Below are 14330 nucleotides of genomic sequence, written 5' to 3' on the forward strand. Positions count from 1 at the left end.
CAGGTGGACTAGCCCAGCAGAAGAACAGATCTGTTTCCTTACCCAGAAACTTCCAAACATCCTATCAGGATAATAACTAAGCTACTAGCACGAAAACCCTGAGAAAAGGTGAGCTATTGACATGCAGATTTCAACATCCAAAGCACTTTAAAATTTCAACATGTTATTTATAACTTTAGATTTCTTAGCAAAACTACACATTACTGGACCTAATATTAGAAGAGTAATTATTAGATACATGATCATGAGTCAGTACTAATGTTTTCACTAAAGTTTTCAAGTAGTCTGCTAAGACCTGTTCACACATGCTAGGCTAAGATCTAGCAGCAATTAAGTTAGGATTTATCCCTGTGCCACATACCCTAACATCCAATCTATTTAACCACTTTGACTCTTAAAGGGCAAAGAAGAAAGAGAGATTCCTTAAAAGATACGGGGACTTGTAGGGGCTGAAGTAGAGAAAGTTTGTTGCTGTTGTAACATCCCAATTTCGAGTCCCTTAGTAAGCACGTTTTCCAGACCCTGATTTTCTTTTCTTTTTTTCTTTTTTTTTGAGACAGGATCTGGCTCTGTTGCCCAGGCTGGAGTGCAGTGGTGTAATCACAACTCACTGCCGTTGCCTCTCAGGCTTAAGTAATCTTCCCACCTCAGCCTCCACAGTAGCTGGGACTACAGGTATGTGCCACCATGCCTGGGTAATTTTTCTATTTTTTGGGTAGAGACAGGGTCTCGCCATGTTGCCCTGGCTCAAGCTATCCACCTGCTTCAGCCTCTCAATGTGCTGGGATGACAGGCGTGAGCCACCACACCCAGATCCAGACCCTGATTTTCCCTTGCTGGTACTCATCAGTGATGTTAAAATATTTCAGTTTTCGGACCGGGCACAGTGGCTCACGCTTGTAATCTCAGCACTTTGGGTGGCTGAGGCGGGGGGATCATGAGGTCAGGAGTTTGAGACCAGCCTGGCCAATATGGTGAAACCCCATCTCTACTAAAAACTACAAAAATCAGTCGGGTGTGGTGGCGCACGCCTGTAGTCCCAGCTACTCAGGAGGCTGAGGCAGGAGTCACTTGAACCCTGGAGGCAGAGGTTGTAGTGAGCTGAGATCGTGCCACTACACTCCAGCCTGAGCGACAGACGGAGACTCTTGTCTCAAAAAAAAAAAAAAAATTTCAGTTTCTGGTCACAATGTAATATTGTATGACCTGACCTCTTTGAAATTAGACCTTCTGTCAATAAGGTAAAAGAGGAGGTAATATGATATGTGTAACTTCCAGGAAAAAGCTTTCAGATCTAATAAACAATTTGTCACTGTTTGAGAGATCAAGGAAGCAAGTGTTGAGTTGAAACCTCTTTGAGCCAAGATCTCCTTGCCAAGGCACATTAGACATGTAGTATGAGGAAGAAACAAACTTTTGGTGTGTTAAGCCATTGAGAGAATTGGTGGATATTTGTTATACAGTACAACCTAAATTAGCTTGATTAGTCACCTGTCGATATCTGTTTCTGTACCCTCATTTCTTCCCATCAGAAGCTGTGTCTTCTACACAGTCCTAGGCTTCAGAAGACACTGACTCCAGCTCCAGCTCCACAGGGTGGTTCAGTATAAGAATCATGGTAATATTAGTTCCTAATCACTAACTGGTTTAGTAAGTTTGCCAGGAAGTCTCAGCAGTTTCTCAGAGAGAGAGAGAAAGGATGTGCCTTTCTCCCTCTGGATGTTTTTATGACAATTATTTTATTATCTCACGGTTCTGTGAGTCAGGAATTCAGGAGCAGCTGAGCTGGACAGTTCTGGCTCAGATTCTCACATGAGGTTCCATTCCAGACATTTGCCAGGGCTGCATTCATCTGAAGGCTTGACTGGGGTTAGGGAATATACTTCCAAGATGGCTTATATGGCTGTTGGCATAAGTTCTCAGTTCATTGCTGGCTCTTAGTAGAAGACCACAGTTACTTACCCTGTGATCCACTCCATGGGGTTACTTGAATGTCCTCCTGTCGTAGTAGCTGGCTTTCCCCAGAGTGATCCCAACAAAAAGAACAGGAGGAAACCATTATATTTTATGTCCTAATTTTAGGAACAACACACCATCATTTCGACTTCATTTTATTCATTAAAGGAAGTCATTAAGTCTAGCCCACATTTAGGAGGAGGGGAATTAGGCTGCACTTTTGCAGGGAAGGAGGAATATTAAGGAATTTGTGGACATATTGTAAACCACCACAGATGTAACAGCAGGAAGTGCTGTTGCCATATTGAGTAACAGGAGGATCTAGCCTAAGGGTAAACCCTAACAGAGAGGAAAGCAGAACAGACATGGAAAGAATTTTGATGACATCACTGAGCCACTGATCTTACCATGCCTGGAACCTACGCTGGACTACTTAGTTATGTGAAAAAAAGTAAATTTCTTCCCTTACCATTTCAGTCTGTTTGAATGAGGTTTGCTGATATTTCCTGTAGGGAATGAAATCAACGTATCTAACCCACAATACATATTGTAAATTAACCTAGATATCAATATATAAATGTAAACATTTGAAAAATATAATCTCCATTTCTAAATTATTTAAATTATATATGTATAAAACTGCTTATTCAATTACATATACAGTTATATATGTATGTGTATGTATAAAACTGCTTACCATATAAGTTTTGTGCAATTTTTAAAAAATTATTCAAATAATTTCCAAATAATTTGTTGATTTTAAAAAACCTTTGGTGTGGCCGGGCGTGGTGGCTCATGCCTGTAATCCCAGCACTTTGTGGGGCCGAGGCTGGCGGATCATCTGAGGTCGGAAGTTCAAGACCAGCCTGACCAACATGGAGAAACCCCGTCTCTACCAAAAATACAAAATTAGCCACCCTCCCAAAGTGCTGAGATTATAGGCGTGAGCCACTGTGCCCAGCCACCAGATACGTTTTAAATAATTTTTTTGTGCCTTAGTTTTCTCATCTGTAAAATAGGGTACGGTTGGTGATGATAATTTCAATTCACAAATGAGTTAATAATGCTTTTATTTATTGATATATTTATTTATTTATTTTTGAGACAGAGTCTGTCACCCAGGCTGGAGTGTAGTGGTGTGATCATACTTTACAGCAGCCTCAAACTCCTGGTTTAAGGGATCCTCCCACCTAAGGCTCTCAAGTAACTGGGACTGCAGGCACACAACACCATGCCTGGCAAATTAAAAAAAAAAAAATTATAGGGACAGGGTCTCACTGTGTTGTCCAGGCTGGTCTTGAACTCTTGAGCTCAGGCCTCCCAAAGCTCTGGGATTACAGGTATGAGCCTCCACACCTGGCTAATATCCTTTTAGAATAGAACCATATAGAGAAAGTACTATGGAGGTGTTAATTTTTATTTTTATTAATAAAATCAATGTTAATGTCTTCAATCAATAGTCATTCAGTGAAGGCCGGGCATGGTGACTCACGCCTGTAATCCCAACACTTTGAGAGGCCAAGGCAGGTGGATCACCTGAGGTCGGGAATTCGAGACCAGCCTGACCAACACTGAGAAACCCCGTCTCTACTCATAATACAAAAATTAGCTGGGTCTGGTGGTACACGCCTGTAATCCCAGCTACTCGGGAGGCTGAGGCAAGAGAATCGCTTGAACCCAGGAGGCGGAGGTTGCAATGAGTGAGATCGTGCCACTGAACTCCAGCCTGGGCGACAAGAGCAAAACTCTGTCTCAAAAACAAACAAACAAACAAACAAAAATACAGTGCTTCCACACCAATGCAAAACACACCTAGACACAGAAGGAGCCTTGTGTTTGAGGATGATAGGTATTCATTTACCTTCACAAACCCTTCACCATATCTCAGATTGCTCATTGGGAAAAACGTATATTTTGTGAGATACTTTGGAAAGTCTCCATGTGAAGTTTGGTCCTGGTCATGTAATTATTATTTTCTAATTTCTTATTCTGTTATTTATTTTTTTCTTTTAAATTTACAAAAAAAGAGTACTAAAATATCAGGACTGTTATTTGCTCTGTCATCTAGGCTAAAATACAGCGGTGTGATCATAGCTCCCTGTAGCCTCCAACACCTGGGCTCCAGGGATACTCTCATCTTAGACTTCAGAGTAGCTGGGACTATTGCCTACACAAAGGACTATTATTCTTTTTTTTTTTTTTTTTTTGAGACGGGTCTAGCTCTGTTGTCCAGGCTGGAGTGCAGTGGTGCGATCTCAGCTTACTGCAACCTCCACCTCTCAAGTAGCTGGCACTACAGGTGCCCGCCACCACGCCTGGCTAATTTTTTTGTATTTTTAATAGAGACAGGGTTTCACCAAATGGCCAGGCTGGTCTCGAACTCCTGAGCTTGTGATCCGCCTGCCTCGGCCTCCCAAAGTGCTGGGATTACAGGCGTGAGCCATGCGCCCGGCCAGGGCTTTTTTTTTTTTTTTTTTTTTTTGAGACAGAATCTCACTCTGTCACCCAGGCTGGAGTGCAGTGGCATGACAGGATCTTGGCTCACTGCAACCTCCGCCTCCCTGGTTCAAGGGATTGTCCTGTCTCAGGCTCCTGAATAGCTGCGACTTCAGGCGCATGCCACCATGCCTGGTTAAATTTTTGTATTTTTAGTAGAGACGGTGTTTCACCGTGTTAGGAAGGATGGTCTCAATCTCCTGACCTCGTGATCCGCCCGCCTCGGCCTCCCAAAGTGCTGGGATTACAGGCGTGAGTCACCGTGCCCCGGCTGCTATTAATCTTAAATAGAGTAGATCAAAGTCACCAAGCCCCTTCTTGGAATATATTTACATATCTGTGCTCAGGGAGAAGGAATAATCTATGCAAATCCACTGCCAGTGGCTTTATTTCTCTAAGGCAGATATCTTCCCAAAGAAATAAGAGGGAAACTTGTTCCTTTATATTTCAAATAAAACAAAACAAAGAAAGATGCCCTGAGATTCTACTATGGTGGAATTTTAACTGGATTTCACCAAGAGAGGAGCCTATCATTCATTATGCAAATTAAGGAGGAAAAAAACCCCACTCTAGTCATTTCAACCAGTAGAGATTTAAATGAAGGAATTAGTTAATGTTGGGAAGTCCAGAGGACGAGAAGCTTACTCAATGAGTAGTAACTACTAACCATTTCTAGACTGGGGAAGCAAAATCACTGAGCAGAGGCCAAGGGTGCATGCAGCTAAGGCTTCTGTTATTGAAGCCCAGCTACCTGAACTGGAGCCCAGGAGCCTGCAAGCGCAGGCTGCTGTCGGAGTCCCCGTGGCTTCGTCTGCCCCAGACTTCACTACTAATGTTGCCCCTGCCATCAACGCTATTGCCGCCTCCATTCTTTTATCACTGGTGTGTAGTGCTGGAACTGCTGGAAACAGCTGCTTTTTCAACTGCTCAAAACTAGAAAAAGAGAGTCACAATTCCCTCCCTCTTGCCTTTTAATCTCTTTCCATTGGCAGAATCTGACCAAAAGTTTGTAAATGTAGATTACAGAATCTAACACACAGCAGAGCACAGAAGTGTGAGAATGAAGGTTGAAAATGTGAAAGGAAAATAAATCTTGGGGCCTCAAAAATCATTAAGCTAAGGGGAAAAGTCAAGCTGGGAACTGTTGAGGGCAAAGTTGCCTCCCATTGTATTCAAAGTCATCCCTCTGCTCACTGAGATAAATGCATATCTCATTGACTACTTTGGAAAGGCTAATTAGAAACTCAAAAGAATGCAACCATTTGTCTCTTCTCTACCTATGACCTGAAAGCCTCCTCTCTGCTTTTGCTTTTTTTGAGTGGTCCCACCTTTTTTTTTTTTTTGAGTTGTCCTGCCTTTGCTTCAAGTCATCCCACCTTTCCAGACTGAACCAATGTTCATCCTACATATGTTGATTGATGTTTCATGTCTCCCCAAAATGTATAAACCAAGCTGTGGGCTGGGAGCGGTGGCTCACGCCTGTATCCCAGCACTTTGGGAGGCCTAGGCGGACGGATCACAAGGTCAGGGGTTCGAGACCAGTCTGGCCATCATGGTGAAACCCCATCTCTGCTAAAAATACAAAATTAGCCAGGTGTGGTGGCAGGCGTCTGCAATCCCAGTTACTTGGGAGGCTGAGGCAGGAGAATCGCTTGAAACCAGAAGGTGGAGATTGCAGTGAGCCTAGATCAGCCACTGCACTCCAGCCTGGGCGAAAGAGTGAAACTCTGTCTCAAAAAAGAAAAAAAGAAAAAGAAAAACAAGCTGTATTCTTCCCACCTTGGGCACATGTCATCAGGACTTCCTGAGGCTGTGTCACAGGTGCACATCCTTAACTTTGGCAAAATAAACTTGCTAAATTGACTGAGACCTATCTCAGATATTCAAGGTCCGCAAGAACAAACAAATAACCAGTCTGATAAGTCGTAAGAAAGTTACACTCTGTCACATGGACCCTAAAAAGGCCAAGACACTCACTCGCCTTCCCAAGAAGAGTCTCTGTAGAGACTCAATGGTAAACCTGTAGGCAGTCAAGAGTCTCCTGTCCTCAAACACCTAGCAAGCAGTGCTATATGAAGGTACTAGGAAACTTTAACTAGGAAACTTTAAACAATTGAAGATTCTCGACTTCAGATAAGGGATAGGAACAAAAGCAGTACTGATAATATTGAAATACTGTTTTGTGATTGCATTTGATAGTGGGGAAAAGGACATATGAAACCCTCCAGACTTTTTCTCTTGGTGCCCTAAAACTTCTGGCTCATTGAGATTAAAAGGATCAAAATGCAATCTTATCCAGGGATAAAAGGCATTTTTACAATTGGAACTCTAAAATAGTATGTCATCCACTTTAGGACAAAGTGGATGGAGAGAATAAGGCATAATATCAAATACAAGTCCCCCAAATAGAAAGTTACAAGGGTGGACAGAATGTGGAAAAAAACTAAGACAAACCAAATGAGAACAAGCAAATTCTATTTATTCAGAGATTGCTATAGCTAGGGAGTCAACCACTGTCACTTGTATTTTGGCAGACACTCCAAGGCAGGCAGAGGAGTAGGAAAGTTTTATTGTAGGAAAAAGGAAAGGCTTCAACTATGCCCCAGTTAGAGGCTGTTGGCATGAGGAAGCTGTAAGCAGGCAAACTAGAAACAGGAATTCCTATGTGATTGGTTAGGGGTACACATTTGGCTTTCTCTGATTTTTTTTTTTTTTTTTTTTTTTTTGAGACAGAGTCTCACTCTGTCCTCAGGCTGGAGTACAGTGGCGCAATCTTGGCTCACTGCAACCTCTGCTTCCTGGGTTCAGGCGATTCTCCTGCTTCAGCCTCCTGAGTAGCTGGGACTACAGGCGTGCGCCACCATGCCCAGCTAATTTTTGTATTTTTTTTTAGTAGAGACTGGGTTTCACCATATTGGCCAGGCTGGTCTCAAACTCCTGACCTCAGGTGATCCACCTGCCTCAGCCTCCCAAAGTGCTGGGATTACAGGCATGAGCCACTGCACCCATCCGGTTTCCTCTGATTGGTCCTAATTTGGAAGCAGGGACAAAAATTAGAAAAGCGGTCAGTTATTAATCAAGTCCTGGCCATATTGGCTTGTTGTCACAGGAAACAACTGTTATTGTTTGGCCTCTTAGACTGTCACTAAAGATCTGTGACTCCCAACAAATCTGACTTACAGCAGACTGTCTCACTGGTTGGCTATTGAAAATAAGTGATTAGTTTCCTGGATAGGTTGCTGCATGTTGTCAATGAAGGAAGGAAGAACTTTACCCTCTTATGTTATTAGGTACCTGGGGCCTGCAAATTAAACTGACAAATATTACAACAGGAAAAACATATACAATTTCATTTGGTGTTAATGTTTTTATATGGCATGGAGGGCTTCACAGAGAAGATGTGAAAACCTCAAAACATGTGGATAGAGAGGTTTATATACCATTTTAACAAAAGGCAATAAATTGTGAAGACATAGGTAGATAAAGGACAGGGGTTTGGGCTTCTACAGGTGGTAAGTTTTTGGAAAGTACCTAGGAAGTATATGAGGAAAACTAATGGAAGATAAGGGCTATATTAATAAGGTTTGTTTGTGCAGACAAACAATCAGTGTCAATTCTCCATTTCCATTGATAAGAATGTTTTCTTTCTGGTTATGGGAGAGCACCTTTCTCATGGGAAATGTATGTCAGGCCAGGTGTGGTGGCTCACACCTGTAATCCCAGCAGTTTGGGAGGCCAAGGCAGGCAGATCACGAGGTCAGGAGATCGAGGCCATCCTGGCTAACACAGTGAAACTGTGTCTCTACTAAAAATACAAAAAATTAGCCAGGCATGGTGGCCGGTGCCTGTAGTCCCAGCTACTCAGGAGGCTGAGGCAGGAGAATGGCGTGAACCTGGGAGGCGGAGCTTGCAGAGATGGCACCACTGTACTCCACCCTGGGAGACAGAGTGAGACTCCATCTCGAAAAAAAAAAAAAAGAAAAAGAAAAAAAAAGAAAAGTGAAGGTCAAGAGGCCATTTGCTGTTTTTCAATTGCCTTCAGTTCAAAATAATCAATATGCTAAAGCAGCGTATTTGGGGGCAACATGTTCTGATCCCCTTCATGGGTCAGAGTTCTGTTGTTATCTATGGTTCAGCCACTGCCCATTTGTATTTCAACTTCAAATTGCAGTCTTTCGATTCCAAATTGCAGATGTACACTTGAGATCACACTCCTTCAGACATGAGCCTGCCCCAGAATGAGGCAGTGAGAATTTACTTACTTTATGATGGCTAATGATTCTTTTGAGCAGACAATTATTTTAGCCAATAATTTTAGCCAATTATTTTGGGTGAGATTAAATAGTAATAAGAAGAAAGCAATGTCACCAACCATTTTCCCTAAGATATGGTGGAAAAAATGATGGTTGCTTCATAACCCTGCAAGGAGTATCTGAATTTCCCAAATTGACACCTGACACCACGTATGCATCCCTTTTTTTTTTTAAACAGGGTCTCACTTTGTCACCTAGGCCAGAGTGCGGTGGCATGAACACAGCTCACTGCAGCCTTGACCTCCTAGGCTCAAGCGATCTTCCCACCTCAGCCGCTTAGTAGCTGGTACTACAGGAATGCACCACCACACCTGGCAAGTTTTTGTATTTTTTGCAGAGATGAGGTCTCACTATGTCACCTAGACTGGTCTCGAACTCCTGGGCTCAAGAAATCCACCTGCCTCAACCTCCCAAAGTACTGGGATTATAGGTTTGAGCCACCATGCCTGGCCCCCCATATGCACCCCTAATGGATAGAATTTGAAACTTGAAAAAATGGAGAAATTTAGCCGATTATTTTGGGCAGGAGTGCTTTCCCCATAATTAGGCTGTCTTCTGCCAGATTCTTTTAGGAGCCAACCCTAAGCAAAAGGTTTAAATGTAAGTAGTTTGAGTGGTGATCATAGGAAGCACTGACAGGGGAAAGGGGCAGTAAGACAGGGAAGTGAGGGAAGCCTAGACCATTACGTTACCAATGGGGGCAACCGAGGGTCAGTCATGCTGGGAACCTGTGGGAGCTGTCCCACCTGAGGGGAAGAGGAAGCTGGAGTTTGTCCTCTAATTACTATCAGTCATTAGTTTATAGTTGCTTCCAGGAGTGTTAACTCTACAGCGCTGAGGACTTTCTCTACACCTGAACTGAGGAAAAGCCCTCGGGCAGCATCATGTACTAGCAGTAGGATACCGTCTGCACATATAGAAACAGTAAGTATTGCAGGGATATGAGCATGGTACTGACAGGATCTTCCACACTGGCCAAAAAAATGAGGACTCTGATTCCCTATAAAGTACTGAGATCTAAGAGAATCCAAAAATGTATGATAGCAACTGTCCATATCGCTGACATTCTTTCTTCCTTCCCTGTGGGTAGATGTTTAGTAAATCCCGAAAATGTTCCCTAGGTCTGACTTCATTTTCTTTTCTTTTCTTTTTTTCTTTCTTTTTTTTTTTTTTTTTTGAGACAGAGTCTCCCTTTGTTGCCCAGTGCTACTGGCGAATCTCGGCTCAGGGCAACCTCTGCCTCCCAGGTTCTAAGCGATACTCTTGCCTCAGCCTCCAGAGTAGCTGGGATTACAGGCATGCACCATCACTCCTGGCTAATTTTGTATTTTTAGTAGAGACGGGGTTTCACCATGTTGGCCAGGCTGGTCTCAAACTCCTGACCTCAGGTGATCCACCCACCTCAGCCTCCCAAAGTGCTGGGATTACAGGCGTGAGCCACCGCACCCGGCCCTGACTTCATTTTCATTTACACCCCAATATTAAGCTCTGACCTGTTCTTTTGTTCCTTCAGAATTAATTGTTGGCATCTGAGCCTACAGTCTCTGCTTTAGCAGGCATATGCCAAGGATGTGGTATTAATCTTTCCTCAGCTTTTAAATATTAAATAAGCCTCCCAAATGGACCCTAGTTCTTGCCTGAAGTGGAGCTCTACTTGGCCAAGGGTTTTGCTTTTAGAGAGCTGAAGTGGAAATAAACAAACAGACGGTCAGTAACACTGACGCTTTCCAAAGCTATTAAGTAAACCCTGTTGACACTAGCAATCTTTATTGTTTGTTGTTCGTACATTATGGTTGTCTGATTAGGTAGCATGATTGACTTTAAACACAAAAACACTAAAGCAAGAAGGAATATGAATTAGCGTAGAACTTCTGGACAGGAAGTACATATGTATTAAGGTGTTGTGGTTAAGCTCTCGGGCTCTGGCAGGAGGCAGATTGGGTTACAAACTTGGCATCCCCACTTACTTGCTGTATGACAGTGAGAATATTATTTAACTTCTCTAAACCCATTTCCACGTCTGTAAAATAGAGATAACAACAGTGCTACCTTCCCATGGCTCTTAGGAAGATTTAGCAGGATAATGTATGTGACTCTGTTAGAATAAAGGTGATCTACATGTCATAAAATCCAATATATCAGTCAGGGTTCAGTGAAGGAACAGAGCTACTGTGAGTGTTATTAGGCAAGGGATTTATTATAGGAACTAGTACTTACACAACTGTGGGAGGAGTTGAGAAAGTAAAGATCCGGAAGGGGAAGCTGGAGAAATAGTCACTAAGCAGTCCCCTAAAGCCCTGGGGTGAGCAGACAAGTCGAAGCTTGCAAGGAAATCTGAGAAATCCAGGACATTCATCAGCCAAATTGGTACTGCAAAAAGGGAGCTCACTAAGCATTGTGTGGGAAACCATGCCCCTCTTAAGACACCTCTGTGTATGCTAAGTGTCTGGTGGTGGGCCTGCAACTGCTGTTGACCAGCAGGGCTAGCATTTGGGAAGAACAGCCTGGTGTAGAACAGAGGAAAGTGGACAAGCTGAACCCACTGGGCACCTTGACATCTGTCTATCACCATGCGGCACAATGAAGATCTTCAGAGAGGCATGGCTACCGTTTCACTTCTGCCTTGCAAATTATGAGCAAGCTCCTCGTGAGATCAACTCTAACCTAGGTCCATATAAGGGATTCCGGAAAAAATTCTGCCCAGATTAGTCATGTTGACGACAGAACAATCCAGCATACCCCAAATAATATTGGCTTTAAAAGTATAGTTTATTTCTGTCTCATGCCATACAAGTCTAGACGAAGTCATTCTACAGTGACAGGAACCTAGCTCTTTAGATCTTTTTGCACTACTATCCACAGCAAGCAGCTTTACTCCATAGTCTAAATGGCCAGTGAAGCTCCAAAAATCATGTCGTCATTCCAACCAGCAGGAAAAAGAAAAGAGTAAGTTGGGCTCACACATTCTTTATTTTTTTTTTTTTATTTTTTTTATTTTTTTGAGACGGAGTTGTTTTGCTTGTCTCCCAGGCTAGGATGCAATGGCATGATCTCGGCTCACTGCAACCTCCGCCTCCCAGATTCAAGCAATTTTCCTGCCTCAGCCTTCCGAGTAGCTGGGATTACAGGTGCGAGCCACAACACCTGGCTAATTTTTGTATTTTTAGTAGAGATGGGGTTTCTCCATGTTGGCCAGGGTGGTCTCAAACTCCTGACCTCAGGTGATCCACCCGCGTCAGCCTCCCAAAGTTCTGGGATTACAGGCATGAGCCACCATGCCGGGCCTTCACACATTCTTTTTTTTTTTTTTGAAATGGAGTCTCGCTCTGTTGCCCAGGCTGGAGTGCAGTGGCGCGATCTCCGCTCACTGCAAGCTCCGCCTCCTGGGTTCACGCCATTCTCCTGCCTCAGCCTCCCGAGTAGCTGGGACTACAGGCGCCTGCCACCACGCCCAGCTAATTTTTTGTATTTTTAGTAGAGATAGGGTATCACTGTGTTAGCCAGGATGGTCTCGATCTCCTGACCTCGTGATCTGCCCCCCTTGGCCTCCCAAAGTGCTGGGATTACAGGCGTGAGCCACCGCGCCTGGCTGCCTTCACACATTCTTTTAAACAACATGTCCTGGAAATCTCACAGAGCTGCAAGGGATGCTGGAAAGTGTAGCCTTTATTTTAGGAATTGTTATGTTCAGCTAAAACTTGAAAGAGGAAGAAAGAACCTATCAAGGGAGACGTAGCAGTCCTTGCCACAGTCCTCTCATCCATAAGCTCCTTCTTTTTATATAGAGCCCTCCTCTCTAGGAGAGAGAACTCCAAAGTGTCCTCTAGTTACTGCTTTAAGCTCAAAGTTGAGAAACTCTGGGTGATATGGAGTCATCTCCATCTTATCTAGATGTAGTGGCTCATGCTCCAGAAACTCATAAACAAAGTTATTTATCCTGCCTTTTTGGTCATATTCAGTATACTGTATAGTGGTGAAACAGGAATAGAGTAACCTTAATTAAAATTTCAACTGGAGAAGAGGAAAGCAGGAAACATGTAACACTCACTGGTACTGGTCCATAGGAGTTATCAAACCCTGCTGAGCACTAATTGCAGAGAACTCCCTGGCCTGAGAAGGGAGTTCTTTGATTAGCTCACCAGGCAGCCCTTGGTTCTGCTCTCTGAGATGAGCTTTTTCAATTACTATCCTTGTTGTGGACTGGATTGTGTTCTACCCCAAATTCACCACATGTGAATTTGGGGTAGAACCCAATCCCCCAATGGGACTGTTTTTGTTTTGTTTGTTTGTTTGTTGGGAGATAGAGCCTTTTAAAAGGCAGTTAAGGTTAAATGATGTCATAAGGCTGGGGTCCTAATCACATATGGCTAGTGTCCTAAGAAGAAGAGGAAGAGACCCTAGGGACGTACATGCAGAGAGGAACGGCCATGTGAAGACACAACAAGAAGGTGACCATCTGCAAGCCAAGGAGAGAGACCTCAGGATAAACTAAACCTGCTGATATATTGATCTTGCACTTCCAGCCTCCAGAACCATGAAAAAATAAAGAGTTGTTTAGACCTCCAATCTGTGGTATTTTGTTATGGCAACCATAGAAGACTGATGCACTTCCTGGTCCTTAGCTCTGCTCTCTCAGAAGTTCCTCCTTCATCAGCCTCCTCCATGGCCACATCTGAGACTGGCTTTGCTGAGTCATCCCTTTTTCGGGAGATACACTCTTTATTAAATCCACTTCATTTTTGTGCAGGCTTGGGGATTGCTATAGGGCTATAATAGTCACAGATTTTTGCAGGCAATATAATTCTTTCAAATATAATTTTTTAAAATTTATTTTCATTCAATTCTCTGTCCTTGTAAGTACAGCCAAAGATCTTGTCTAGCCACAGTGTTTTCGTTTGTTTGTTTAAAGCCTGAAGACAGATCTTTTTTGTTTTGTTTTGTTTTGTTTGAGACAGAGTCTCTCTCTGTTGCCCTGGCCAGAGTGCAGTGGCACAATCTCGGCTCACTGCAGCCTCCACCTCCCAGGTTCAAGCGGTCCTCTCACCTCAGCCTCCTGAGTAGCTGGGACTATAGGCATGCACCACCACACCTAGCTAGTTTTTATATTTTTAGTAGAGACAAGATTTCACCGTGTTGGTCAGGCTGGTCTCCAACTCTTGGCCTCAAGTGACCCACTTGTTTCAGCCTCCCAAAATGCTGGGATTACAGGTGTGAGCCACTGTGCCCAGCTTTACTCTCAATTTTTAAACTTTTTGAGACAGGGTATTACTCTACGCCCAGACTCATTGCAGCCTCAACCTCCCCAGGCTCAGGTGATTCTCCTGCCTCTGCCTCCTGAGTAGCTGGGACTACAGGCATGTACGCGCCATGCCCAGCTAATGTTTTTACTTCTTTGTAGAGACACGGTTTTGTCATGATGCTCAGGCCGAACTCAAACTCCTGTGCTCAAGCAATCTGCCTGCCTGGGCCTCCCAAAGTGTTTGGATTACAGGCATGAGCCACTGCACCCAGCCTTATCCCTCAATTTAATGGCAACTACCTTGAAAGTTGTTTAAAACACACTTG

The sequence above is a fragment of the Homo sapiens genome, chromosome 12 (genome assembly GCF_000001405.40).
Source record: "Homo sapiens chromosome 12, GRCh38.p14 Primary Assembly".
Taxonomy (NCBI): domain Eukaryota; kingdom Metazoa; phylum Chordata; class Mammalia; order Primates; family Hominidae; genus Homo; species Homo sapiens.